The sequence below is a fragment of the Homo sapiens genome, chromosome 5, assembly GCF_000001405.40.
Source record: "Homo sapiens chromosome 5, GRCh38.p14 Primary Assembly".
Taxonomy (NCBI): Eukaryota; Metazoa; Chordata; class Mammalia; order Primates; family Hominidae; genus Homo; species Homo sapiens.
This window is the reverse complement of record NC_000005.10, coordinates 70,972,779-70,998,123: the sequence shown is the minus strand read 5'-3', so window position 1 is coordinate 70,998,123 and position 25,345 is coordinate 70,972,779. Positions and strand designations below refer to the sequence as shown.

The 25,345-nt window shown below is 42.0% G+C and overlaps 1 protein-coding gene and 1 long non-coding RNA gene across 4 annotated transcripts in view; one reads left to right on the top strand and one right to left on the bottom strand.

Moving 5' to 3' along the window:
- The window catches only part of NAIP (NLR family apoptosis inhibitory protein), a 57,174-nt gene that overhangs the window by 27,216 nt on the left and 4,613 nt on the right, over positions 1–25,345 (top strand). For all 3 annotated transcript variants that reach the window (NM_022892.2, NM_004536.3, NM_001346870.2), the window contains 7 exons: positions 10,250–10,331; positions 11,322–11,379; positions 12,238–14,349; positions 18,088–18,255; positions 21,066–21,218; positions 21,878–21,964; positions 23,831–23,995. In NM_022892.2, coding sequence (NP_075043.1) covers positions 10,250–10,331; positions 11,322–11,379; positions 12,238–14,349; positions 18,088–18,255; positions 21,066–21,218; positions 21,878–21,964; positions 23,831–23,995 — 2,825 coding nt within the window. The remainder of the gene's footprint in view (positions 1–10,249; positions 10,332–11,321; positions 11,380–12,237; positions 14,350–18,087; positions 18,256–21,065; positions 21,219–21,877; positions 21,965–23,830; positions 23,996–25,345) is intronic.
- Positions 1,674–21,180, bottom strand: LOC112267942 (uncharacterized). The gene is made up of 2 exons (XR_002956243.1): positions 21,092–21,180; positions 1,674–2,346 (listed from the first exon to the last, which is right to left on the bottom strand). It is a non-coding gene; the product is annotated as an uncharacterized LOC112267942 (long non-coding RNA).

The window sequence follows — 25,345 nt, the reverse complement described above, 5'->3', positions numbered from 1 at the left end:
TTTTTAAGAGACAGGGTCTCTCTATGTTGCCCAGGCTGCTCTCAGACTTCTAGGCTCAAGCAGTCTTCCCATCCTGGCTTCCCAAAGTGCTGGGATTATAGGCGTGAGCCACCATGCACAGCAATTAAACCATTTTAGAGTACACAATTCTGTGGCATTTATTATAGTACATTCACAATGTTGTGCAACCACCCCCTCTATCTAGTTCCAAAACACTTTCATCGCCCCCAAAGAAAACTCTGTATCCATCAAGCAGGCCCCCCTCCTCTCTCCACCCCACTCCATGCCCAGCCCCTGGGATACACCAACCTAATTGGTGTCTATGGATTTATTTGTTCTGACTATTTCCTCTAAATGGAAGCATACCGTTTGACCTTTTGCATTTGGATTCTTTCACTTGGCATATTGTTTTGAAGTTTATCCATGTTGTAGCTTGCATAAGTACTTCCTTCCTTTTGAGACCAAGTAATATTCCATATGGATACACTGCATTTTATTTATCCATTCATCTATTTGTAGATATTTGGGTTGTTTCTACCTTTTGGCTACCATGAGTAATACCGATAGGAACATTTGGGTACAGGTATCTGATGGAGCATGTAACTGTATTCAAGTCTCTGGGGCATATACCTAACAACGATATTGCTAGCTGTATAGTAATTCTATGTTTTTACTTTTTTTTTTTTTTCTCACACAGAGTCTCACTCTGTCACTCAGGCTGGAGTGCAGCGGTGCGATCTCAGCTCACTGCAACCTCCGCCTCCCAGGTTCAAGCAATTTTCCTGCCTCAGTCTCCTGAGTAGCTGGGATTACAGGTGTCTGCCACCATGCCCGCCTAATTTTTTGTATTTTTAGGGTTTCACCATGTTGGCTAGGCTGGTCTCAAACTCCTGACCTCAAGTGATCCACCTGGCTTGGCCTCCCAAAGTGCTGGAATTACAAGCGTGAGCCACAGCGCCTGGCCTGTTTTAACTTTTTGAGGAAATGCTAAACTGTTTTTTCCACAGTGCTTGCACCATTTTAAATTCCCACCAACAACAATGTTGTGCAACCACCCCCTCTATCTAGTTCCAAAACACTTTCATCGCCCCCAAAGAAAACTCTGTATCCACTAAGCAGGCCCTCCTTCTCTCTCCACCCCACTCCATGCCCAGCCCCTGGGATACACCAACCTAATTGGTGTCTATGGATTTATTTGTTCTGACTATTTCCTCTAAATGGAAGCATACAGTTTGACCAACAATGTATGAGGTTTCCCATTTCTCATCAACACTTTTCTATTTTTAAAAAAATTATAGCCATCTGCTTAATTTTTTTTTTTTTTTTTTTTTGAGATGGAGTCTCACTTTGTCGCCCAGGCTGGAGTGTAATGGCGTGATCTCACTCACTGCAACCTCCGCCTCCTGGGTTCATGCCATTCTCCTGCCTCAGCCTCCCGAGTAGCTGGGACTACAGGCACCTGCCATCACGCCCGGCTAATTTATTTTTTATTTATTTTTTTAGTAGAGACGGGGTTTCACCGTGTTAGCCAGGATGGTCTCCATCTCCTGACCTCGTGATCCACCCGCCTCAGCCTCCCAAAGTGCTCTGATTACAGGCGTGAGCCACCGCGCCCGGCCAGCCATCTGCTTAATTTTTATGTACATTGCTTATTTTTGTTTCTTGAGATAAAATTCATGTATTAATAATTTTATTTATTTAAATGAAATAAATGAAGACGAACACCAGCTCATCTTCAACTTATCCCAAATGTTTAAATCTCCTCTTAAGTCATTCAGACCTACCAGATATCTCATCATTTTCATTTCTTGAAAGAGTCATCATTTTTTTTTTCTTTTTCTTTTTTTTTTGAGACGGAGTCTGGCTCTGTCACCCAGGCTGGAGTGCAGTGGCATGATCTCGGCTCACTGCAGACTCTGCCTCCCAGGTTCAAGCAATTCTTCCTGCCTCAGCATCCCAAGTAGCTGGGACTACAGGCATGCACCACTATGCCTGGCTAATTTTTGTATTTTTAATAGAGATGGAGTTTTGCCACGTTGGCCAGGCTAGTTTCAAACTCCTGACCTCAAGTGATCCGCCTGCCTCAGCCTCCCAAAGTGCTGGTATTACAGGCGTGAGCCACTGCGGCTGGTCCATTTTCATCTTGAAATGAGTTTCCCTGGAAGTCTTCTGGCCTGCTGGATTATGAACAACTTGTCCTATAATCATCCTGGGATCCAGGGATCTTTCTTCACAGGCATCCTGGAGATTATCTCCTCTGTTGTATCTCCTGGATCTAATGTCATCCTCTTCTTGGTTCACTCGCTCATTTTGTTGGAACACTTCATCGGAGTTCCCTGGGAAAGACTGCATAAGAAATACACACTTTTAGTTGCATATAATGCATATACAGACATATAGATCTATCTAGATATATGTTTTTCCTGTATTCTCACACTTATTTGATAGTTTAGCTAGGTGTAGAATTATAGGTTGGAAGTCATTTTAATTCTAAATTGTAGAGGCACTGCTACATTTCTACTGGTTCCTAATGTGCTGTCGAGAAGTTCCATGCCTTTCTGCTTGTCAATCCTTTTACTGCAAACAAAATTTTTTTTTTTCCTGTGCTGGAAGCTTTCAGAAAAATATCTGTTCTAAAATTTTATGAAGAAATATTTCTTTTCTATGAATCTTTAAACTTAATTTTTTTTTACCCATCAAACTCTTTAGAAATGTTTAATTGCAAGAAGAAATTTGTGTTTTCACTATGTAATTAGTAAGAGTTTTTTTTTTAGAAATGAATATGAACACATACAGATTTTAAAATGAATGCTTCCTGCTCATTTGTATAGTGGTAAAAACAAAAATAAAACAAAATGAATACTTCTATCTAATTTTATTGCCTTGAAGGTATTTTGATAGCAGTAGTTACCTCATTTTTCTTTCTTATTTGGGCTTAGTGTATAATAAATTATTGAGAACAATGGGGACATTCTACTTAATTCTTGGAAGGATAAGCTAGGATGCAGTCTAGTCTTATTTAGAACTTACTCTGGAATCGATCAACTCCCTTTTATACTATTATTATTATTATTAGTTTTAGTGTTTTGTTGTTGTTGTTTTTGAGATGGAGTCTCACTCTGTCACCCAGGCTGGAGTGCAGTGGCGTGATCTCGGCTCACTGCAACCTCCGCCTCCCGGGTTCAAGCGATTCTCCTGCCTCAGCCTCCCAAGTAGCTGGGATTACAGGTACCTCCCCACCATGCCTGGCTAATTTTTTGTACTTTTAGTAGAGACGGGGTTTCACCATGTTGGCCAGGCTGGTCTTGAACTCCTGACCTCAAGTGATCCTCCTGCCTCAGCCTCCCAAAGTGCTGGGAATACAGGTGTGAGCCGCCACACCTGGCCTTTAGTGTTTTTTTGTTAAGAGACTGGGTCTCGGCTCTGTCACCCAGGCTGGAGCAAGTGCAGTGGTACAATCCTAGCTGACTGTAGCCTCAAATTCCTGGGCTCAAGTGATCCTCCCACCTCAGCCTCCCAAGTAGCTAGGACTACAAGCATGTGTCACCATGCCCGACTAATTTTTTAAAGTTTTTTTTTGTAGAGATGGGGTCTTGCTTTGTTGCCCAGGCTGGTCTCAAACTCCTGGCTCCAAATGATCCTTCTGCTTCAGCCTCCCAAAGTACTTGGATTACAGGCATGAGCCACTGCTCCCAGCCAACTCCTTTTTGGATTTTTACTCTTCCTTTGCCTCTTAAAAAAACTGCAAACCAGTATGTCTCCAAATGATTACCTAAAATTTTTATGTATGCTTTAAAGAATGAATAAAAAGCAACCTATGAACCTCCTAGTAAAGTCAAGAAATTGGACATTATCAATGCCTTAAAAGACCCCTGCGGCCGGGTGCAGTGACTCACGCCTGTAATCTCAGCACTTTGGGAGGCCGATGTGGGCAGATTGTCTGAGCTCAAGAGTTCGAGACCAGCCTGGGCAACATGGTGAAACCCCATCTCTGTTAAAAAACAGAAAAATTTAACCGGGCCTGGTGACACACGCCTGTAGTCCCAGCTATTAGGGAGGCTGAGGCAGGAGAATGGCTTGAACCTGGGAGGCGGAAGTTGCAGTGAGCCAAGATGGCGCCATTGCACTCCTGGGCGACAGAGCGTGACTCTGTCTCAAAAAAAAAAAATCAAAAAACAAAAAACAACTCTGCATGCCAACCACCCCCTAATTCTGATTATATCCCTGTCCCTCCAATCCAGAGGTAAATGTGATGCTCAGTTTGGGTTAATTATTCCCTTGCTTCTCTTTGTGGTTTTACCAACTACATATACATCCTTAAACATATTTAGCTTTGTCTATTCTTGAAGTTCAAATAAGAAGCATACTGCATGATTCTTCTTGTAATTGGCTGGTTTTACTCCACGATGTTTTTGAGATTCATCCATATTTATATGTACTACACAGTTGTAGTTCACTTGTTTTCATTGGTAAATAGTGTATTATTTTATGAATATATAATAACTTATTTTACTGTTGATTAACCTCGTGGGTCGTTTTCAGAGTGTTGCAAATTCAAATAATGCCCTATGAACATTCTTGTACATATTTTCCAGTGCTCATGTGTGTTTCTCTAGGATACATAACAAAGTAAAGAATTGCAGAGTCATAGAACTTTGCGGGTGTTCAACTCCACTAGATAATGCAAAGCTTTTTCCCAAGTGGTTGCACTGATTTACATTCCCATTGGCCTAGATGCGTTTCTATTGATTTGCTTCCTCACTAACTTGGTATTGCCCAAATTTTAATTTTTGTCAGTGTAATTACTAATAATGTTAAGCTTATTTTCTTCTTCTTTTTTTCTTTCTTTTTTTTTTTTTGAGACGGAGTTTCACTCTTGTTGCCCAGGCTGGAGTGCAATGGCACGATCTCGGCTCACCACAACCTCCGCCTCCCAGGTTCAAGTGATTCTCCTGCCTCAGCCTCCCGAGTAGCTGGGATTACAGGCATGTGCCACCACGCCCAGCTAATTTTGTATTTTTAGTAGAGATGGGGTTTCTCCATGTTGGTCAGGCTGGTCTCGGACTCCCAACCTCAGGTGATCCACCCACCTCAGCCTCCCAAAGTGCTGGGATTACAGGTGTGAGCCACCGCGCCTGGCAGTTGAGCTTATTTTCATATTTTCCTGCAGAATAGTCTTGTTCTTTCTCTTCAAGAGTGTGTCTTAGCTATTTTTTTGCCCTTTGGTCTTTCATATTCCAGAGAATATATTAAATATCCCAAGCAGGCATGGTGGTTCACACCTATAATCCCAGCACTTTGGGAGGCTGAGGTGGGAGGAGTGCACAAGGCGAGGAGTTTGAGACTAGCCTTTGCAACATAGCTAGACTCCATTTCTACAAAAAATTTTTAAAACAAACAGGGTGTGGTAGCATGCATCTGTAGTCCCAGCTACCTGGGAGGCAGAGGCAGGAGAATCGCTTGAGCTCAGGAGTATAGGTTGCAATGAGCTATGATTGTGCCACTGTACTGTGGCCTGGGTGACAGAGTAAAACTTTGTCTCTAAAAAACAGAAATATCCCTCTTTATCCTTGATAGTATTTTTTAGGCCTTTATTAGTTTTTTCATGTTACATCTTTTAGATTATTTTCTTTTTAATCTATCTGTGACTATATTTAAAGTCAATTCTTGTTTTTTCCTTTTCCTTTTTGTGGGTAACGGGGTCTCACTATGTTGCCCAGGCAGATCTCAAACTCCTGGGCTCAAGCTGTCCTCCCACCTCTGCCACCCTAAGTGTTGAGATTACAGGCATGAGCCACTGCACCCAGCCTTAAAGTGAATTGTTATAGGCAACAACACAGTGGGGTCTTTTATTTTATTTTTTATTTGTTTATGAGACAGACTCGCTCTGTTGCCTACGCTGGAGTGCAGTGGTGCAGTCTTGACTCACTGCAGCCTGGACTTCCCAGGCTCAAGCAATCCTCCCACCTCAGACTCCTGAGTAGCTGGGACTACAGGCACATGCCACCAAGCCTGGCTAAGTTTGTTAGTTTTTTATAGAGACAAGGTCTCACTATGTTGCCCAGTCTGATCTCGAACACCTAGCCACAAGCAATTCTCCTGCCTTGTCTTCCCAGAGTGCTGGGATTACAGGTGTGGACCACTGAACCCAGCAGGTCTTGCTTTTTTTTTGAGATGGAGGTGTGAGCCACCACATCCAGCCAGGTTTTCTCTTTTTTTTTTTTTTTGAGACGGAGTCTTGCTCTGTCGCCCAGGCTGGAGTGCAGTGGCACGATCTTGGCTCACTGCAAGCTCCGCCTCCTGGGTTCACACCATTCTCCTGCCTCAGCCTCGCGAGTAGCTGGGACTACAGGCACCCCGCCACCACACCTGGCTAATTTTTTGTATTTTTAGTAGAGACGGGGTTTCACCGTGTTAGCCAGGATGGTCTCGATCTCCTGACCTCATGATCCACCTGCCTTGGCCTCCCAAAGTGCTGGGATTACAGGCGTAAGCCACCACGCCTGGCCAGGTCTTGCTTTTTAAGAGTCTGACAATAACTGCTTTCTAATTGGAATGTTTAGAACGTTTAAATTTAATGCAATTATGAATATGGTTGGATTTAAACCTATTTTACCATTTGCTTTCTATTTATTTCATCACTTCTTTGTTTCTTTTTCTTTTCCTGACTTCCTAGGGTTTAGGGTTTTTTTTTTTTTCTTTTTTCTACCCCTCCTTGAGTATTTTTTTTTGTACTCCATTTTATTTCTGTCAGCTTATTAGCTATTAATCCTTATTTTACCTTTTTACTACTTGCTCTAGAGTTTACCATATGCCTATTTAACATATCATAGTAATCTTCAAAAATATTATAACAGCTGGGTGCAGTGGCTCATGCCTGTAATCCCGGTAATTTGGGAGGCTGAGGCAGGCAGATCACTTGAGGTCAAGAGTTCCAGAGCAACCTGGGCAACATGGTGAAACCCCGTCTCTACTAAAAATACAAAAAAATTAGCTGGGTGTGGTGGCGCACACCTGTAATCCCAGCTGCTTGGGAGGCTGAGGCACGAGAATTGCTTGAACCCAGGAAGCAGACGCTGCAGAAAGCTGAGATCGTGCCACTGCACTCCAGCCTGGGTGACACAGTGAGACTCTGGGTCAAAAAAATATATAACACTTGACATAAAATGTATGAACCATACAATAGTATATTTCCATTTCTCCCCTCTCATCCTTTGTGCTATTGTCATACATTTTATTTCCATGTACTTTAATAAATCTTACAATATAATGTTATATCTTTGCTTTAAACAATTTAAGTACATTTTTACAACGGCAAAAGTCTTTCATATTTGCCCTCTTAGTTATCTTATCATTCCTGGTACTTTTCATTCCTTTGAGTAGAACCAAATTTCCATCTGCTATCATTTTCCTTTTAAATGATGTGCTTCCTTTCACTTTTTTTTTTTTTTTTTTTTTTTTTGAGATGGAGTCTTGCTCTGTCTCCTAGGCTGGAGTTCAGCGCCACGATCTCGGCTGACTGCAACCTCTGCCTCCCGGGTTCAAGTGATTCTCCTGCCTCAACCTCCTGAGTAGCTAGGATTACAGGTGCCCACCACCATGCCAGGCTAATTTTTGTATTTTTAGTAGAGATAGAGTTTCACCATGTTGGCCAGGCTGGTCTTGAACTCCTGACCTCATGATCTGCCTGCCTCAGCCTCCCAAAGTGCTGGGATTACAGGGGTGAACCACTGTGCCTGGTCCCTTTCACATTTTTTGTAGTGCAGTTATGCTGGCAACTGACTTTATTTGGCATTTGTTTGTATGAATAAGTTTATATTTTACCTTCCTTCATAGTTCTTTTCCTTGATGGGCCTATTAAAATATTTTTTTTCTTTTGTAAGCCACTTCACCCCTTCCCTATGGGTTTGTTTTTATTTACCTCTACATGGCTGACTTTGGACAGAAACGTTAAAAGTTCTACTTGTTGTTTTCCTGAAGCTATGCTTCTATTTCTGGACTCATCGCCAAGTCACCTGAAGGCAATACAAATGAAGTATCTGGGCCACATGCAGTGGCTCACGCCTGTAATCCCAGCACTTTGGGAAACTGAGGTGGGAGGATACCTTGAGCCCAGAAAAAAAAAAAATTAGCCTGGCATGGTGGCACGTGCCTGTAGTCCCAGTTACTTGGGAGGCTGAGGTGGGAGGATCACTTGAGCCTGGGAGTTGGAGGCTACATTGATCCTTGGTCGTGTCACTACCCTCAAGCCTGGACAAAAGAGTGAGACCTTGTCTCAAAAAAAAAAAAAAAAAAAAAAAAAAGTGTCCCTTTGCTTTACTCCTGCTCTCCAGTGATTCTACAGCATGGAATAGGCCACTGACTTACTCACATGTATAGTTCTCATCTGTCCATTTTAATAATTGCAACTAGAGCTCTTTTTGAACTTTCTCTCTTGTTCTTCAAGCATACATCAAACCTGAGTTTAGAGGGTATTTGCGTCCTAGTTTCACGAGATTGGCAAGTAGTTTTTAGAGAGTATGTTTGTGGCCATTCTTTTCTTTTGATACTGACGGAGGGTTTCTTTTTTAATTTTTTGTTTGTTTAAGACAGGGTCTTACTCTGTCACCCAGGCTGGAGTGCAGTGATGCAATCACGGCTCACTGTAGCCCCAACCTCCTGGCCTCAAGTGATCTTCTTGCCTCAGCACCCCCAAGTAGCTGGGACTATACATGCATGCCACCCTGCTAGCTAATTTTTAGAGGAGGTCTCTCTATGTTGCACAGGTTGGTCTGGTCTTGAACTTCTGGCCTCAAGTGAAACTCCTACTTTGGCTTCCCAAAGTGCTGGGATTACAGGCATGAGCCATTGCACCTGGCAATGGAGTGGTTTGTGGTTGGTTAGTTTTTTGTTTGTTTGTTTGTTTGTTTTTGAGACAGAGTTTCACTCCTGTTGCCCAGGCTAGAGTGCAATGGTGCGATCTCGGCTTACTTCAACTTCTGCCTCTTGGGTTCAAGCAATTCTCCTGCCTCAGCCTCCCAAGTCGCTGGGATTACAGGCGTCCGCCACAACGCCCGGCTAATTTTTGTATTTTTAGTAGAGGTGAGGTTTCACCATGTTGGTCAGGTTGGTCTCAAACTCCTGACCTCAAGTGATCCACCCGCCTCAGCCTCCCGAACTGCTGGGATTACAGGCGTGAGCCACCATGCCTGGCCTTGTTTGTTTTTTGTTTTGTTTTGAGACAGAGTCTCACTCCATTGCCCAGACTAGAGTGCAGTGGCACAATCTCAGCTCACTGCAACCTCCGCCTCCCAGGTTCAAGCGATTCTTGTGCCCCAGCCTCCTAAGTAGCTAGGACTACAGGTGTGCGCCACCACTGCCTGGTTAATTTTGGAATTTTCTTTTTAATAGAGACAGGGTTTTGCCATGTTGGCCAGGCTGGTCTCAAACTTCTGGCCTCAAGTGATCTGCCCGCCTCGGCCTCCCAAAGTGCTGGGATTTTGGGTGTGAACCACCGCACTCACAGAGTTTTTTTCTTTTTTTAATAAATTTTTATTTGAAATTATTTAGATTTGCAGAAAGTGCAAAGTAATACAAAGAGTTCCTATATATTGCCATACCCAATTTACCCTAATGCTAACATCTTACACTAGCATATTTGTCAAAATCATCAGTGTACCAATTCATATACTGTACATTACTATTTACTAAAATCCAGAGTTTATTTGGATTTCACCAGTTTTTCCACTATGTTGTTTTTTGTTCCAGAATTCATAAATAGAGGGTTTTTTTTTTCCTATTTTTGATTCTTTAAGTTCATTTTTGTTGGTTGCATGGAGGAGTGTCATATACGCACTCATTCCACCAAATTCCCTTGATATCCTTTACCGTTACTTTATAAACCATTTACATTTCTCTTGCAGAGAGCCACAACCTAAGTGCCTTACCTGATGACACTGACAGAGAGAATCACTGGAAATGATAGTTTTATACTTAATTCTTGTCACTAAAACTCTAATAGTGTTTTTAAAAACCTAATACAAGGCCAGGCCTGGCGGCTCACACCTATCATCCCAGCACTTTGGGATGCCTAGGGAGGAGAATTGCTCAAGGCCAGAAGTTTGAAACCAGAACAGCCTGGGCAACATAGTGAGACCCTGTCTCTGAAAAAACAAAACAAACAACAACAGCAACAACAACAACAAAAATACCTAACACAAATACTTAAATGCATACAACTATTTTTATAACTTTTAACTTTTACACTTAGTTGTCCATTTCTCCAAAATATGAAGTCCTCTGCGGAAGTGACTCCAGACCTTCAGAGCCGTGGTGAACTTTGTGAATTACTGGTAATGAACACCGTCATCTTGTCTGTTTTACCAGCACATGATCATATAATTGAAAACTGTTTTGAACAGGAATGTCTCATCATAAATAAGTTAATAAATTCTACAAACATCTACTAAACATCTGTTATGTTCTAGGTACAGATTGGGGAAATCACAATAAACCAGTCGGGCACAATACCTAGCTTCATGAAATGTATAGTCAATCTCTTCTACTTCAAGGCCCAGACTCTCTTAGACTTTGTTGATTAGCATCCAGGCTAAATGGATCCTCTCTGGATCTTCATGTGGAGGGCAATAAGGCTGGATTTGCTACTTGGCCTTTTTAGGGGTTGAGAAGATGTTACTTTAACAAAAGCAAGTGCCCAACAAAATCATAAACCCAGGTAATAGGCTGACCACTTTAAGCTGAGAAATCCTACCTAGTTCTCTGGGATATAAGCCACTACTAATTTAATGCACACATATACCACCTTATTTTGAGGCTGTGTGTTAGGTATGTTATGTTTGTCATCCCCCCACCCCCAACACACACAAAAACCAACTTGCTATTCACGTGATTCATTTTCTATATGAATTGAAAAATGGCACTAAAGAAAAAAGTTTGGGGATATAGAAATAGCTTATTTTTTAAGGAAGAAACATAACCTTTCTAAGTACTGGATGTGTAATATTAAAAATGTAGTTAACCAAGGACAGAGGCTGCACCTAATGACTTTTGGAGGAACCTTCTTGCTCAAGACACTATGATTCTCGTTACCTGGATAGTATCACCCATGGATTGTATCATATATGAACCACTGAGGAACACACATTCCTGCAGATGTTTGCAGATTATTAATTGCTTTATATTTGGAGCACCCCTCCCTTCAATCAGCATAAATATTTGAGGGTGGGCTGTGTTTAGAAGATGTTTAGTCTCCAATGATTACAACATGATGCACCACTCTCCTATACAAATTTTGATTTAAGAAAAGATTTTATTTTTCAAAGGAAACCACAAGTGAAAGCAATCTTGAAGATTCAATAGCAGTTGGTCCTATAGTGCCAGGTAAGAACTTTGAAGTAGCACGTGGGATTATATGTATTTGTAAATATATTTGTATACAGGGCAGTTGCAAAAAAAAGAGTATTTATAATTGTCCAAAGAGCTTCCAAAGAGGAGCAGCATTGCAACAGTGTCGTGTATGAGCAAAAGTCAAGATTCTTGTGGCTTCTCCAGAGTGCAGGCAGGACCAAACTGATAGTAGGCAACGTGTCTCAGGTACAAGCAAACCAGTCCTTAGAAGCACCAATCAGTAAACTTCTTTCCTGAGATTTTTATTTTTATTCATTTTATTTTATTTTATTTTATTTGAGACAGGGTCTTACTTTGTCACCCAGGCTGGAATGCAATGGCAAGATCATGGCTCACTGCAGCGTCGACCTCCCAGGCTCAAGTGATCCTCCCATCTCAGCCTCCCCAGTAGCTGGGACCACAAGCATGTGCCACCACACCTGGCTAATTTTTGTATTTTTTGTAGAGACAGGGTTTTGCCATGTTGGCCAGGCTGGTCTTGAACTCCTAGGCTCAAGCAATTCGCCTGCCTCGGTCTCCCACAGTGCTGGGATTACAGGCATGAGTCACTTTGCCTGGCCTCTTTCCTGAGATGCATGGTGCTTATGATAAGCACACATTATGTCTAGGTCCCTGCTTCAAGTGTGGCACTTTGGACACATGCTTTCCACATTCCGATTTTGTGCCAAAACCTATGAGATGATTGCAATGTGGGAATCATGGATGGCTGTGGAAAATCCTAACACATTCGTAGTAGACAGGCAGAATCATGGAATGAAAAGGCATGGCGTTCAGACTGAGGGAGATGTGACTATGAATCCCTGTTGTGCCCCCCTTTCTTTCTCTCCACAGAAATGGCACAGGGTGAAGCCCAGTGGTTTCAAGAGGCAAAGAATCTGAATGAGCAGCTGAGAGCAGCTTATACCAGCGCCAGTTTCCGCCACATGTCTTTGCTTGATATCTCTTCCGATCTGGCCACGGACCACTTGCTGGGCTGTGATCTGTCTATTGCTTCAAAACACATCAGCAAACCTGTGCAAGAACCTCTGGTGCTGCCTGAGGTCTTTGGCAACTTGAACTCTGTCATGTGTGTGGAGGGTGAAGCTGGAAGTGGAAAGACGGTCCTCCTGAAGAAAATAGCTTTTCTGTGGGCATCTGGATGCTGTCCCCTGTTAAACAGGTTCCAGCTGGTTTTCTACCTCTCCCTTAGTTCCACCAGACCAGACGAGGGGCTGGCCAGTATCATCTGTGACCAGCTCCTAGAGAAAGAAGGATCTGTTACTGAAATGTGCGTGAGGAACATTATCCAGCAGTTAAAGAATCAGGTCTTATTCCTTTTAGATGACTACAAAGAAATATGTTCAATCCCTCAAGTCATAGGAAAACTGATTCAAAAAAACCACTTATCCCGGACCTGCCTATTGATTGCTGTCCGTACAAACAGGGCCAGGGACATCCGCCGATACCTAGAGACCATTCTAGAGATCAAAGCATTTCCCTTTTATAATACTGTCTGTATATTACGGAAGCTCTTTTCACATAATATGACTCGTCTGCGAAAGTTTATGGTTTACTTTGGAAAGAACCAAAGTTTGCAGAAGATACAGAAAACTCCTCTCTTTGTGGCGGCGATCTGTGCTCATTGGTTTCAGTATCCTTTTGACCCATCCTTTGATGATGTGGCTGTTTTCAAGTCCTATATGGAACGCCTTTCCTTAAGGAACAAAGCGACAGCTGAAATTCTCAAAGCAACTGTGTCCTCCTGTGGTGAGCTGGCCTTGAAAGGGTTTTTTTCATGTTGCTTTGAGTTTAATGATGATGATCTCGCAGAAGCAGGGGTTGATGAAGATGAAGATCTAACCATGTGCTTGATGAGCAAATTTACAGCCCAGAGACTAAGACCATTCTACCGGTTTTTAAGTCCTGCCTTCCAAGAATTTCTTGCGGGGATGAGGCTGATTGAACTCCTGGATTCAGATAGGCAGGAACATCAAGATTTGGGACTGTATCATTTGAAACAAATCAACTCACCCATGATGACTGTAAGCGCCTACAACAATTTTTTGAACTATGTCTCCAGCCTCCCTTCAACAAAAGCAGGGCCCAAAATTGTGTCTCATTTGCTCCATTTAGTGGATAACAAAGAGTCATTGGAGAATATATCTGAAAATGATGACTACTTAAAGCACCAGCCAGAAATTTCACTGCAGATGCAGTTACTTAGGGGATTGTGGCAAATTTGTCCACAAGCTTACTTTTCAATGGTTTCAGAACATTTACTGGTTCTTGCCCTGAAAACTGCTTATCAAAGCAACACTGTTGCTGCGTGTTCTCCATTTGTTTTGCAATTCCTTCAAGGGAGAACACTGACTTTGGGTGCGCTTAACTTACAGTACTTTTTCGACCACCCAGAAAGCTTGTCATTGTTGAGGAGCATCCACTTCCCAATACGAGGAAATAAGACATCACCCAGAGCACATTTTTCAGTTCTGGAAACATGTTTTGACAAATCACAGGTGCCAACTATAGATCAGGACTATGCTTCTGCCTTTGAACCTATGAATGAATGGGAGCGAAATTTAGCTGAAAAAGAGGATAATGTAAAGAGCTATATGGATATGCAGCGCAGGGCATCACCAGACCTTAGTACTGGCTATTGGAAACTTTCTCCAAAGCAGTACAAGATTCCCTGTCTAGAAGTCGATGTGAATGATATTGATGTTGTAGGCCAGGATATGCTTGAGATTCTAATGACAGTTTTCTCAGCTTCACAGCGCATCGAACTCCATTTAAACCACAGCAGAGGCTTTATAGAAAGCATCCGCCCAGCTCTTGAGCTGTCTAAGGCCTCTGTCACCAAGTGCTCCATAAGCAAGTTGGAACTCAGCGCAGCCGAACAGGAACTGCTTCTCACCCTGCCTTCCCTGGAATCTCTTGAAGTCTCAGGGACAATCCAGTCACAAGGTATACCTGTATATATTTTGGATGACTATTCTGATGTATAATTTCTTTTTCTTACTTTAAGTGGTTGAAAACTTCTGAGGCCATGAAAGCATGCATGCTCATTGATAGAACAGATATAAAATAAACCTTCACTAATTTTTTTTGACAGTAGCATGAATTAGTGAAAAGTCCTTGAATAATAGAATGGTTTTCAAATAACTCAGACAAAATGAATAAAATATTTATATTAAATTATTGAAGGTTCTTAATAAAGACATGAATTATCTGTTATTAGTAAAAGAATTAGCTATATGTAAGATGATGCTTAGAAATTACCTTCACCCTAGCTGCCTAAAGGAAGAAAGGCCTGTAGTCCCTGGGAAATAAATAAATTAATGGGAAATAATATCTTCATCTATTTGTGTCTTAACTCCTCTAAGCACTATTTGATAGTTTTCAGTGTAGACTTAACCCATCTTTCATTAAATTTATTCCTAGATACTCATATCTTTTGAAAGTATTGTAAATGTCATTAAAAATATTTTTTCATTTTCTAATTGTTGCTAGTATTGCTTTGGTCTTAAGCAGTTTGACTGTTATATGCCTAGGTGTGCTTTGCTTTGTATGTATCTTGCTTGAGGTGCACTGAACTTTTTTGGAATGTGTGGGTTGACATTTACCAAATTTAGAAAATTTTTCATCTTTTTTCAAGTACTGTTTTATTATGGTAAAATACATGTAACAAAGCTTACATTTTAATCATTTTAAGTGTACAACTCAGTGGCATTAAGCATTCACTATGTTGTACAACCATCACCACTATCCATCTCCAGAACCTTTTCATCATCCCAATTAAACAATAAATTGGGCCGGGCGCGGGGGCTCACGCCTGTAATCCCAGCACTTTGGGAGGCCGAAGAGGGTGGATCGCCAGAGCTCAGGAGTTTGAGACCACCCTGGGCAACATGGTGAAACCACATCTCTACTAAAATACAAAAAATTAGCTGGGCGTGGTGGCATGCGCCTGTAGTCCCAGCTATTCGGGAGGCTGAGGCATGAGAATCACTTAAGCCTGGGAGGCAGAGGTTGCAGTGAGCCCAGATCATGCCACTGCACTCCAGCTTGGGCTACCGAGTGAGACTCCGTCTCAAAAAAAAAAAAAAAAAAAAAAAATCTTCCCTCCCACCAGCCCCTGATAACTTCTCTTCTATTTTCTGTCTCTATGAATTTGCCTCTTCTAGATATTGTTTATAAGCATTATCACTTGTCTGGCTTATTTCACTTTGCATACTGTTCAAGGTACATCATGTTGTAGCCTATATTGGAATTTCATTCCTTCACATGTACTCCATAAATATGTACAATTATTATGTATCAACTTTGAAAAGGAACTTCATCCTTTTTATAGCTAATATTCCATGGTATGTATATAGTACATTTTGTTTATCCATTCTGCTGCTGAGAGACACTTGGGTTGTTTCTACCTTCTGGCTATCATAAATAATGCTGCAATGAACACTGGCATTATAAGTATCGGTTTAAGTTCTTGCTTTTAATCATTTTGGGTATATACCTAGAAGCAGAATTGCTGATTCATATGGTAGTTCTATGTTTAACTTTTTGAGGAACTTGCACAGTAGCTGCACCATCTTACATTCCCACTATCCATGTACAAAGGTTCCAATTACTCCACATCCTCTTCAGCACTTGTTAATTTTTGTTTTTGTGGAGACAGAGTCTAATTCTGTCACCCAGGCTGGAGTGCAGTGGCGAGATCTTGGCTCACTGCAACCTCCACCTCTCGGGTTCAAGCAATTCTCCTGTCTCAGCCTCCTGAGTAGCTGGGACTACAGGTGTGCACCACCATACCTGGCTAACTTTTGTATTTTTAGTAGAGATGGGGTTTCGCCATGTTGCCCAAGCCGGTCTCGAACTCCTGAGCTCAGGCAGTCCAGCCACCTTGGCCTCCCGAAGTGCTAGGATTACAGGCATGAGCCACAGTGCCCGACCTGTTTTTGTTTTCATTGTTGTTTTTCAGACAGTGTCTTGCTCTATTGCCCAAGCTGGAGTGCTGTGGTGCAATCATGGCTCACTGCAGCCTCAACCTCTTGAGCTCAGGTGATCCTCCTGCCTCAGCCTCCTGAGTAGCTGAGACTACCAGCATGCACCACCGTGCCTGGATAATTTTTTATTTTTTGTAGAGACAGATTCTTGCTATGTTGCCTAGTCTGGTCTTTTTTCTTTTTCTTTCTTTTTTTTTTTTGAGATGGAGCCTCGCTCTGTCCCCCAGGCTGGAGTGCAGTGGCGCAATCTCGGCTCACTGCAAGCTCTGCCTCCTGGGTTCACGCCATTCTCTTGCCTCAGCCTCCCAAGTAGCTGGGATTACAAGCTCCCGCCACCACACCCAGCTAATTTTTGTATTTTTAGTAGAGATGGGGTTTCACCATGTTGGCCAGGCTGGTCTTGAACTCCTGACCTCAGGTGATCCACCCACCTCGGCCTCCCAAAGTGCTGGGATTACAGGCATGAGCCACCGTGCCTGGCCCCTAGTCTGGTCTTGAACTCCTGGGCTCAAATGATCCACCCACCTTGGCCTTCCAAAGTGCTGGGATTACAGGTATGAGCCACCTCACCCAGCCCATTTTGTTTTGTGATTATCATAAAGCCATTCTAGTAGTTGTGAAGTGGTATCTCATTGTGGTTTTGATTTGCATTTCTCTAATGCAAATCATGAAAATGATGTTAAGTATCTTTTCACTTTTTGAAAAAATATGTTTGCTCATTTAAAAATTGTTGTTGTTTTTGTTGCATTGTAAGAGTTATTTGTATATTCTGGATTTCAACCTGTTATCAGATACACAGTTTGAAAATATTTTTCCCATTCCATAGGTTGTCATTTTACTTTATTTATAATGTCCTTTGTGCACGAAAGTTTTAAATTTTGACGAAGTCCAATTTATCTGTTTTTTTCTTTTATTGCTGGTCCTTTTGGTGTCCTATCTAAGAATCCATTGCCAAATCCAAGGTCATGAAGATTAACTCCTATGTTTTTTCTAAGAGTTGTGTGATTTCAGCTTTTATATTTAGGTCGTTGATCCATTTTGAGTTGATTTTTTTTACATGGTGAGGGATAGGAATCCAACTTCATTCTTTCGCATGTGCAAATCCAGTTGTCCCCAACCGTTTGTTGAAGAGATGCTATATTTCTTTTCTCTTCTTTTTTTTTTTTTTTTTTTTTTTTGAGACGGAGTCTCACACTGTAGCCTGGGCTGGAGTGCAATGGCGCGATCTTGGCTCACTGCAACCTCCGTCTCCCAGGTTTATGTGATTCTCCTGCCTCAGCCTCCTGAGTAGCTGGGATTACAGATGCACACCACCATACCCAGCTAATTTTTTTTTTGTATTTTTAGTAGAGACGGGGTTTCACTATGTTGGCCAGACTGGTCTCAAACTCCTGACCTCGTGATCCGCCCGCCTCAGCCTCCCAAAGTGCTGGGATTACAGGCATGAGCCACTGCGCCTAGCCGAGATGCTGTATTTCTTTTTGTGAGTCTGAAGAGTAGCACAGGGCTTCCCATACAGTGCATAAGCTGCAAAAAGCAATATCTTCATATATGTATTCTTTAAAAAAAAAAAAGAATGTTTTATGGTATGTGGAAGGTTTGCATGTGAAAATAGCTGGATGAATCAAAATGACAGTTTTAAAATGTCCATTCAGAACTCTTTAGATTAATAATGGGAAACTGTGCTGCTTTCCAGACCAAATCTTTCCTAATCTGGATAAGTTCCTGTGCCTGAAAGAACTGTCTGTGGATCTGGAGGGCAATATAAATGTTTTTTCAGTCATTCCTGAAGAATTTCCAAACTTCCACCATATGGAGAAATTATTGATCCAAATTTCAGCTGAGTATGATCCTTCCAAACTAGGTAAGGATGGCACTTTAATATACTTGTTTTTACGTAAGTTGGAAAAGCTACTTGGCCAATAATTTATTTAAGAGTTAAAGTGCCTGTGGTTCTAAGGGTGTAGCCTGTATCCATGGTAAATTGTGAGGAATAGCACTCTTTCTCATTAAGAAAGCAGAGTGCTGTTTGTAATTATTGAGCCTTTACTACACACTAGGAAGTATCCTAAGCACTTCACAAATATGAACTCAGTCTTCATACCCACTCTATGAAGTACTATTATTATTATTATTATTATTATTATTTTTTTTTTTTTTGAGACAGTCTCCCGCTGTCGCCCAGGCTGGAGTGCAGTGGCACGATCTCGGCTCACTGCAAGCTCCTCCTCTCAGGTTCACCATTCTCCTGCCTCAGCCTCCCAAGTAGCTGGGACTACAGGTGCCTGCCACCACGCCCAGCTAATTTTTTGTATTTTTAGTAGAGACGGCGTTTCACCGTGTTAGCCAGGATGGTCTCGATCTCCTGACCTCATGATCTTCCCGCCTCGGCCTCCCAAAGTGCTGGGATTACAGGCATGAGCCACCGTGCCTGGCCAAAGTAAAGTACTATTATTAATGCTATTTTGTAGCTGGGAAAACTGAGACATAAAGAGATAAAGTAATTCGTAATATCCAGCTAAGGAAATGTATATCTGTGACTCAAATACAGGAATTTTGACTCCAAAATCTGAGTTCTTAATCCCTAATATAGGCCGGGCCTGGTGACTCACACCTGTAATCCCAGCACTTTGGGAGGCCGAGAAGGGCAGATCACCTGAGGTCAGGAGTTCGAGACCAGCCTGACCAACATGGTGAAACCCTGCCTCTACTAAAAATGCAAAAATTTGCTGGCATGGTGGCATATGCCTGTAATCCCAGCTACTTGAGAGGCTGAAGCAGGAGAATTACCTGAACCTGGGAGGCAGAGATTGCAATGTGAGCCGAGATCGCGCCATTGTACTCCAGCCTGGGGAACAAGAGTAAAACTCCATGGGGAACAAGAGCAAAACTCCATGGGGAACGAGAGCAAAACTCCATCTCAGAAAAAAAAAAAAAAAAAGAAAGAAATCCCTAATATAATGTTGCCACTCCAAAATAATTTGTAGGGTTATTTTATTTTGTTTTTGGTTAGGCTGGTCTTACATTGCAACTTACAGATCTGGCAGCTCAGCAGGAAGGAAATCTGCTAATCTGTAGTCATTGGAAGTATTTCCCTGTTTCTCACCAGCCTATCCTAATAGTTCATGGAAAATGGTGCAGCCATCTTTCTTAAATACATCATTTAGCTAAATGACTTAGGCACCATCATTCCTTAACTTAGTAAACACTGAACACTAAAGATTGAAGAAATATACAACTCTATGGAATTGACATAAAGACTTGCATGCAAAAGCTTCATTGTTGGCCAGGCACAGTGACTCACACCTGTAATCTTAGCACTTTGGGTGGCCGAGGCGGGAGGATCGCCTGAGAGCAGGAGTTCAGCACCAGGCTGGGCAATATAGCAAGACATCGTCTCTACTAAAAAAATAAAAAATTAGCCAAGTATGATGGTGTGCACCTATAGTCCCCAGCTACTCAGGAGGCTGGTAGGATCACTTGAGTCCAGAAGTTCAAGCTTGCAATAAGCTATGATCATGCCACTGCACTCCAGCCTAGGTGATAGAGCAAGACCCTGTCTCAAAAAAAAAAAAAAAAAAAATATATATATATATATATATGTGTGTGTGTGTGTGTGTGTGCATACATATATACACCGAAGCTGGAGGTGGTAGTTATATTTGTCAGCAAATTTTGCAACAAATTTAGGTTTTGCTTCAGAGTTGTCATTCCTTTTATGTTTCTTTTTTTTTTTTGAGACAGAGTCTCAATCTGTCACCCAGGCTGGAGTGCAGTGGCACCGTTGTCAGCTCACTGCAACCTCCGTCTCCTGGGTTCAAGCAATTCTCCTGCCTCAGCCTCCCAAGTAGCTGGGATTACAGGCACCCATCACCATGCCCGGCTAATTTTTTAATATTTTTAGTAGAGACGGGGTTTCACCATGTTGGCCAGGCCAGTCTCAAACTCCTGACCTCAGGTGATCCGCCCACCTCAGCCTCCCAAAGTACTAGGATTACAGGCGTGAGCCACTATGCCCAGCTGTTTCTTTGTATAGTATTCTTTTTTTTTTTTTTTTTTTTTTTTTTGGAGATGCAGTCTTGCTCTGTTGCCCAGGCTGGAGTTTGGTGGCGCAATATCCACTCACTGCAACCTCTGCCTCCTGGGTTCAAGCGATTCTCCTGCCTCGGCCTCCCGAGTAGCTGGGATTACAGCTGCCTGCCACCCACGCCTGGCAAATGTTTGTATTTTTAGTAGAGACAGGGTTTCACCATGTTGGCCAGGCTGGTCTCGAGCTCCTGAGCTCAGATGATCCACCTGCCTCGGCCTCCCAAAGTGCTGGGATTACAGGCATGAGCCACAGCACCTGGCCTCTTTGTATTCTTATTGTGTAAATGTCATGTACAAACTTAGAGTTATTAGGTGTTAAAGCTGAAGGTGATGCTACTGAGTCAATGCTTGTATTTTATAGAAGAGAAAACTGTTACCCAGAGAGGGTCAATAATGTGTCAAAATTCACATTACTTGCTAGTTGCAGAACCTGAACCCAAGCCCAGTGACCTGATTCTTAGATCATGAGATCGTGGTACCTGGTTTTAATTAAGTATTATTGAAACAAAATAATAAACTACTTGGCTAATTTTGATAGAAATTTGCAGTATTTTCTAATTTCTGAAAATCCTTGATCTTTTACAGTAAAATTAATTCAAAATTCTCCAAACCTTCATGTTTTCCATCTGAAGTGTAACTTCTTTTCGGATTTTGGGTCTCTCATGACTATGCTTGTTTCCTGTAAGAAACTCACAGAAATTAAGTTTTCGGATTCATTTTTTCAAGCCGTCCCATTTGGTAAGAGTTATAATATTACAATGGTGGTTTAAAATGTTTCTATGGACACAGAGTCATATTAAGCACTCTTTAAAAAGGGCCATATTTTGAGGCTGGGTGTGGTGGCTCATGCCTGTAATCCCAGCACTTTGGGAAGCTGAGGCAGGAGGCTTGCTTGAGGTCAGGGGTTTGAGACCAGTCTGGGCAACATAACAAGCCCTCCACCTCTAAAAAGCTTTAAAAAAATCAGTCGGGCACAGTGGTACCTATAGTCCCAGCTACTAGGGAAGCTAAGGCAGGAAGATTACTTGAGCCCAGAAGGTTGAAGCTGCAGCGAGCTGTGATGGTATCACTGCACTCCAGCCTGGGTGACACAGACCTTGTCTCTTTAAAAAAAGAAAGAAAGAAAAGAAAAATTGTTTCTCAAATAATAAAGTATAGGTGTTTCCAGAATTTTCTTTTTTACCTTTACGCTCAGTTGGATTTGAAATTTCTAGAATTTTAACAACATTTCTAGTTATCAGAATTATTTTCTGAGCAAAAATTTGTTTTATCTACTTAGTCATATGAATTCAATCTGAATTATTACATTAATTTCTAATTTCTTCATTTTAAAGATGTTACACTTTGCTGTGAGAGATGTAGCTGACATAACTAAATTTTTATTTTCCCTTTCATAGTTGCCAGTTTGCCAAATTTTATTTCTCTGAAGATATTAAATCTTGAAGGCCAGCAATTTCCTGATGAGGAAACATCAGAAAAATTTGGTATGTTTACAAAATAGTGCTTTTTACGTATTCTTATTCTCTTTCTGCCCAGAATCCTTTTTCTCCTATTCTGAATTAGCCACAAGGAAGCAAGATATGCATTAGCTACCCTTGCTTACCAGAACGAAGTGATAGTCATGCTCAACTTCTACCCACCAAATGCCTTCACTACAGTTTTACCTGCAGACTTGATCTCATTCAAAGCAGAATGACTTCTTAGAGTACATATTTGGTCATTATAGCACTATGCAATATAATTGTCAGGTATCTGTTCCAAATATAAGACCTCATAGTTTCAAAGGTTACTAGAATATAGGTAAAAATCTATCTTTTAAGGTTAGGAAAACTCAATACGTGAAAACGTGTATTTCATAAAATGATAGCTATAGAATTTAAATACTTTTTGATTTTTAAAAAACGATTATGAAAGTAATGTATGCTCATGGAAAACATTCTAACAGGAAAAAAAAAAAATAAAGGGAGGCAGTGGAGATAGGGACTGTAGAGCTGTGCTATTCAAAGTGCTTCTCAAACATAAGCGTACATAAAGATTGCCAGGATCCTCCTCTTCCCTTCCTTGGAGGCAGCTAGGTGGGTGGGGGCTGAGGTGGCAGAGGTAGGATCAGGGCCAAGGGGATGGCTGGCATACATCATAGGTTGATTAAGCAAATAATACAGTGAGTATAGCCAGATGCAGTGGCTCACACCTGTAATCCCAGCACTTTGGGAGGCCGAGGTGGGTGGATCACCTGAGGTCAGGAGTTCAAGACCAGCCTGGCCAACATGGTGAAACCCCATCTCTACTAAAAAATACAAAAATTTGCTGGGCGTGGTGGCACATGCCTGTAGTCCCAGCTACTTGGGAGGCTGAGGCAGGAGAATCTCTCGAACCTCGGAGGCAGAGATTGCAGTGAGCCAAGATCAGGTCACTGTACTCCAGCCTGGGTGGCAGAGCAAGACTCTGTCTCAAAAACAAACAAACGAACAAAACAGTGAGTATAATGAGAGCCACGTTTCCTCACAGTTGGAAAAGGAACTTACAAATATTGAAAGGTGAGGCTAGAAAGAGCTTTGAGGTGTTGGATTAGAATTGGAAATATTGGTCTGGCCTCATGGTTTTTTCTAACCTATGAACATACATAGAGATCTCCATATATATACATTGATCTCCACATGTCTATAGATACACACATACATATTTCTCAGCTCAATGGAGAGACTAGAAGGCACTGCAGTAATAATGAACACACCAAGTGCCTAGATACTGATTTCTAAATCCTGTCCTTCCGTAAAGGAACCAGGGTCCTTGCAAAATTGGCTGATTCAAGAACTGAGACAGGGAAAGAAAATGATAAGCCTGGGACATTGATTTATGCTAGAAATTATTCAATATATTTCCATGTGTGAGGCCTCAGAAGTTACCTTTCTAATGATCAAATGATCTATCGTGTGCCATGCTAGGAAGGAGTCGAAGTGAAAAGGAAGGTTCTAAGAGTGGTGGACTGTGAGGCTTTAGGGCCAGGAGGCCGGTGCAGAATCACTGAGCATGACAGCGGGAGGTGGAATGGGAAAGGAGGTGGCTGAAGGCATTGCAGAGCTGGGAAAGGAACCTGCAGGTCAGGAAAAGCTTCATTCTAAACGAGGAATGGAGATTTAATTGGCAGCCTGGACTTTAGTGCAGGAGAGATTGGTTGGTAGGGTGTGGTGGAGGAATTGTCTGGAGGAGCGAGGAAGACGGAAGCATGTGCTGGCCCTTCTCTTGCTTCCTGGACTGTGCATGATGTTTAGACCATACATGATTTTCAGATTACTGTTGCATAGGAACAAAAAGTACAAAGAGAATAGCTTTTTGGTCTTTTCTGACAGCCTACATTTTAGGTTCTCTTAGTAACCTGGAAGAATTGATCCTTCCTACTGGGGATGGAATTTATCGAGTGGCCAAACTGATCATCCAGCAGTGTCAGCAGCTTCATTGTCTCCGAGTCCTCTCATTTTTCAAGACTTTGAATGATGACAGCGTGGTGGAAATTGGTGAGCTAGTGTTTCAGCTTGCATGGAAGCCAGTGGTATAGCCAAGCTTTCTGCTGCAACATGTCTATGTAAACATTTGCCCCTCTAGAAATTTTCAACCCGCTTCCTCATTTTCACTATCATACTGTTCCTTCTAGTGTCCTTCTGTGGATTTAGGCGCATTCTGGTCAGATTTGGAAGTACAAAAAGGTCTCCCATTTGTGGATATACAAGCCCTCAAATCTGCGTTCTTGCCACCTGGTGTTTTAGACACCTGGCCACATACTCTCCTAAGTACTCCTTTTTAAAACTGAAGATGAATATACACACAGAAAAGTACAAAAATCATGTGTACTGCTCACTGAATTTTATTTTCTTATTTTCTTCTTTTTTTTTTTTTTGAGACAGAGTTTCGCTCGTGTTGCCCAGGCTGGAGTACAATGGCACGATCTCGGGTCACTGCAAACTCTGCCTCCTGGGTTCAAGCGATTCTCCTGCCTCAGCCTCCCAAGTAGCTAGGATTACAGGTGAACGCCACCACACCTGGCTAATTTTGTATTTTTAGTAAACACAGGGTTTCACCATGTTGGCCAGGCTAGTCTCGAACTCCTGACCTCAAGTGAGCCACAGTGCCTGGCCTGAGGAACTGAGATTTCTGTCGAGACCTGAAGGGAGAATGGCCCAGGCATAGTTGGTAGAGGAGGAATTGAGACATCATTTCAAACAGAGGTAATCACTTGTGTCATAGCCTGGAGTTAAAGAGAACCAGATATATTTGAAGAACTTGGGGGAAAAAAAGGAATGTCTGGAGCAAGAGGCAGGAGTGAGTTGTGAGAAGAAGACTGGAGAGGAAAGTAAAAGCCCAATTGGAGAGGCTTTGTCGGGTGTGTTACAAGGGCTGGATCTCATTTTCTTACTGCTCAGCACTGTTATTTTACGTTATTTAAAACAGCTGGGAGCGGTGGCTCAAGCTTGTAATCCCAGCACTTTGGGAGGCCGAGGCGGATGGATCACGAGGTCAGGAGATCGAGACCATCCTGGCTAACATGGTGAAACCCCGTCTCTACTAAAAATACAAAAAATTAGCCAGGCGTGATGGCGGGCACCTGTAGTCCCAGCTACTCGGGAGGCTGAGGCAGGAGAATGGTGTGAACCCGGGAGGTGGAGCTTGAAGTGAGCCAAGATCATGCCACTGCACTCCAGCCTGGGCAACAGAACGAGACTCCGTCTCAAAAAAAAAAAACAAAAAACAAAAAACAATGACAACTTACAACCTTTTTCTTAAAGGCCTTGTTTCTTCCTCCTTATGAGGAAGAATTTAATAACATTAAATTTTGTGGTCTCTCTCATCCTCATTTACTATAAATTATT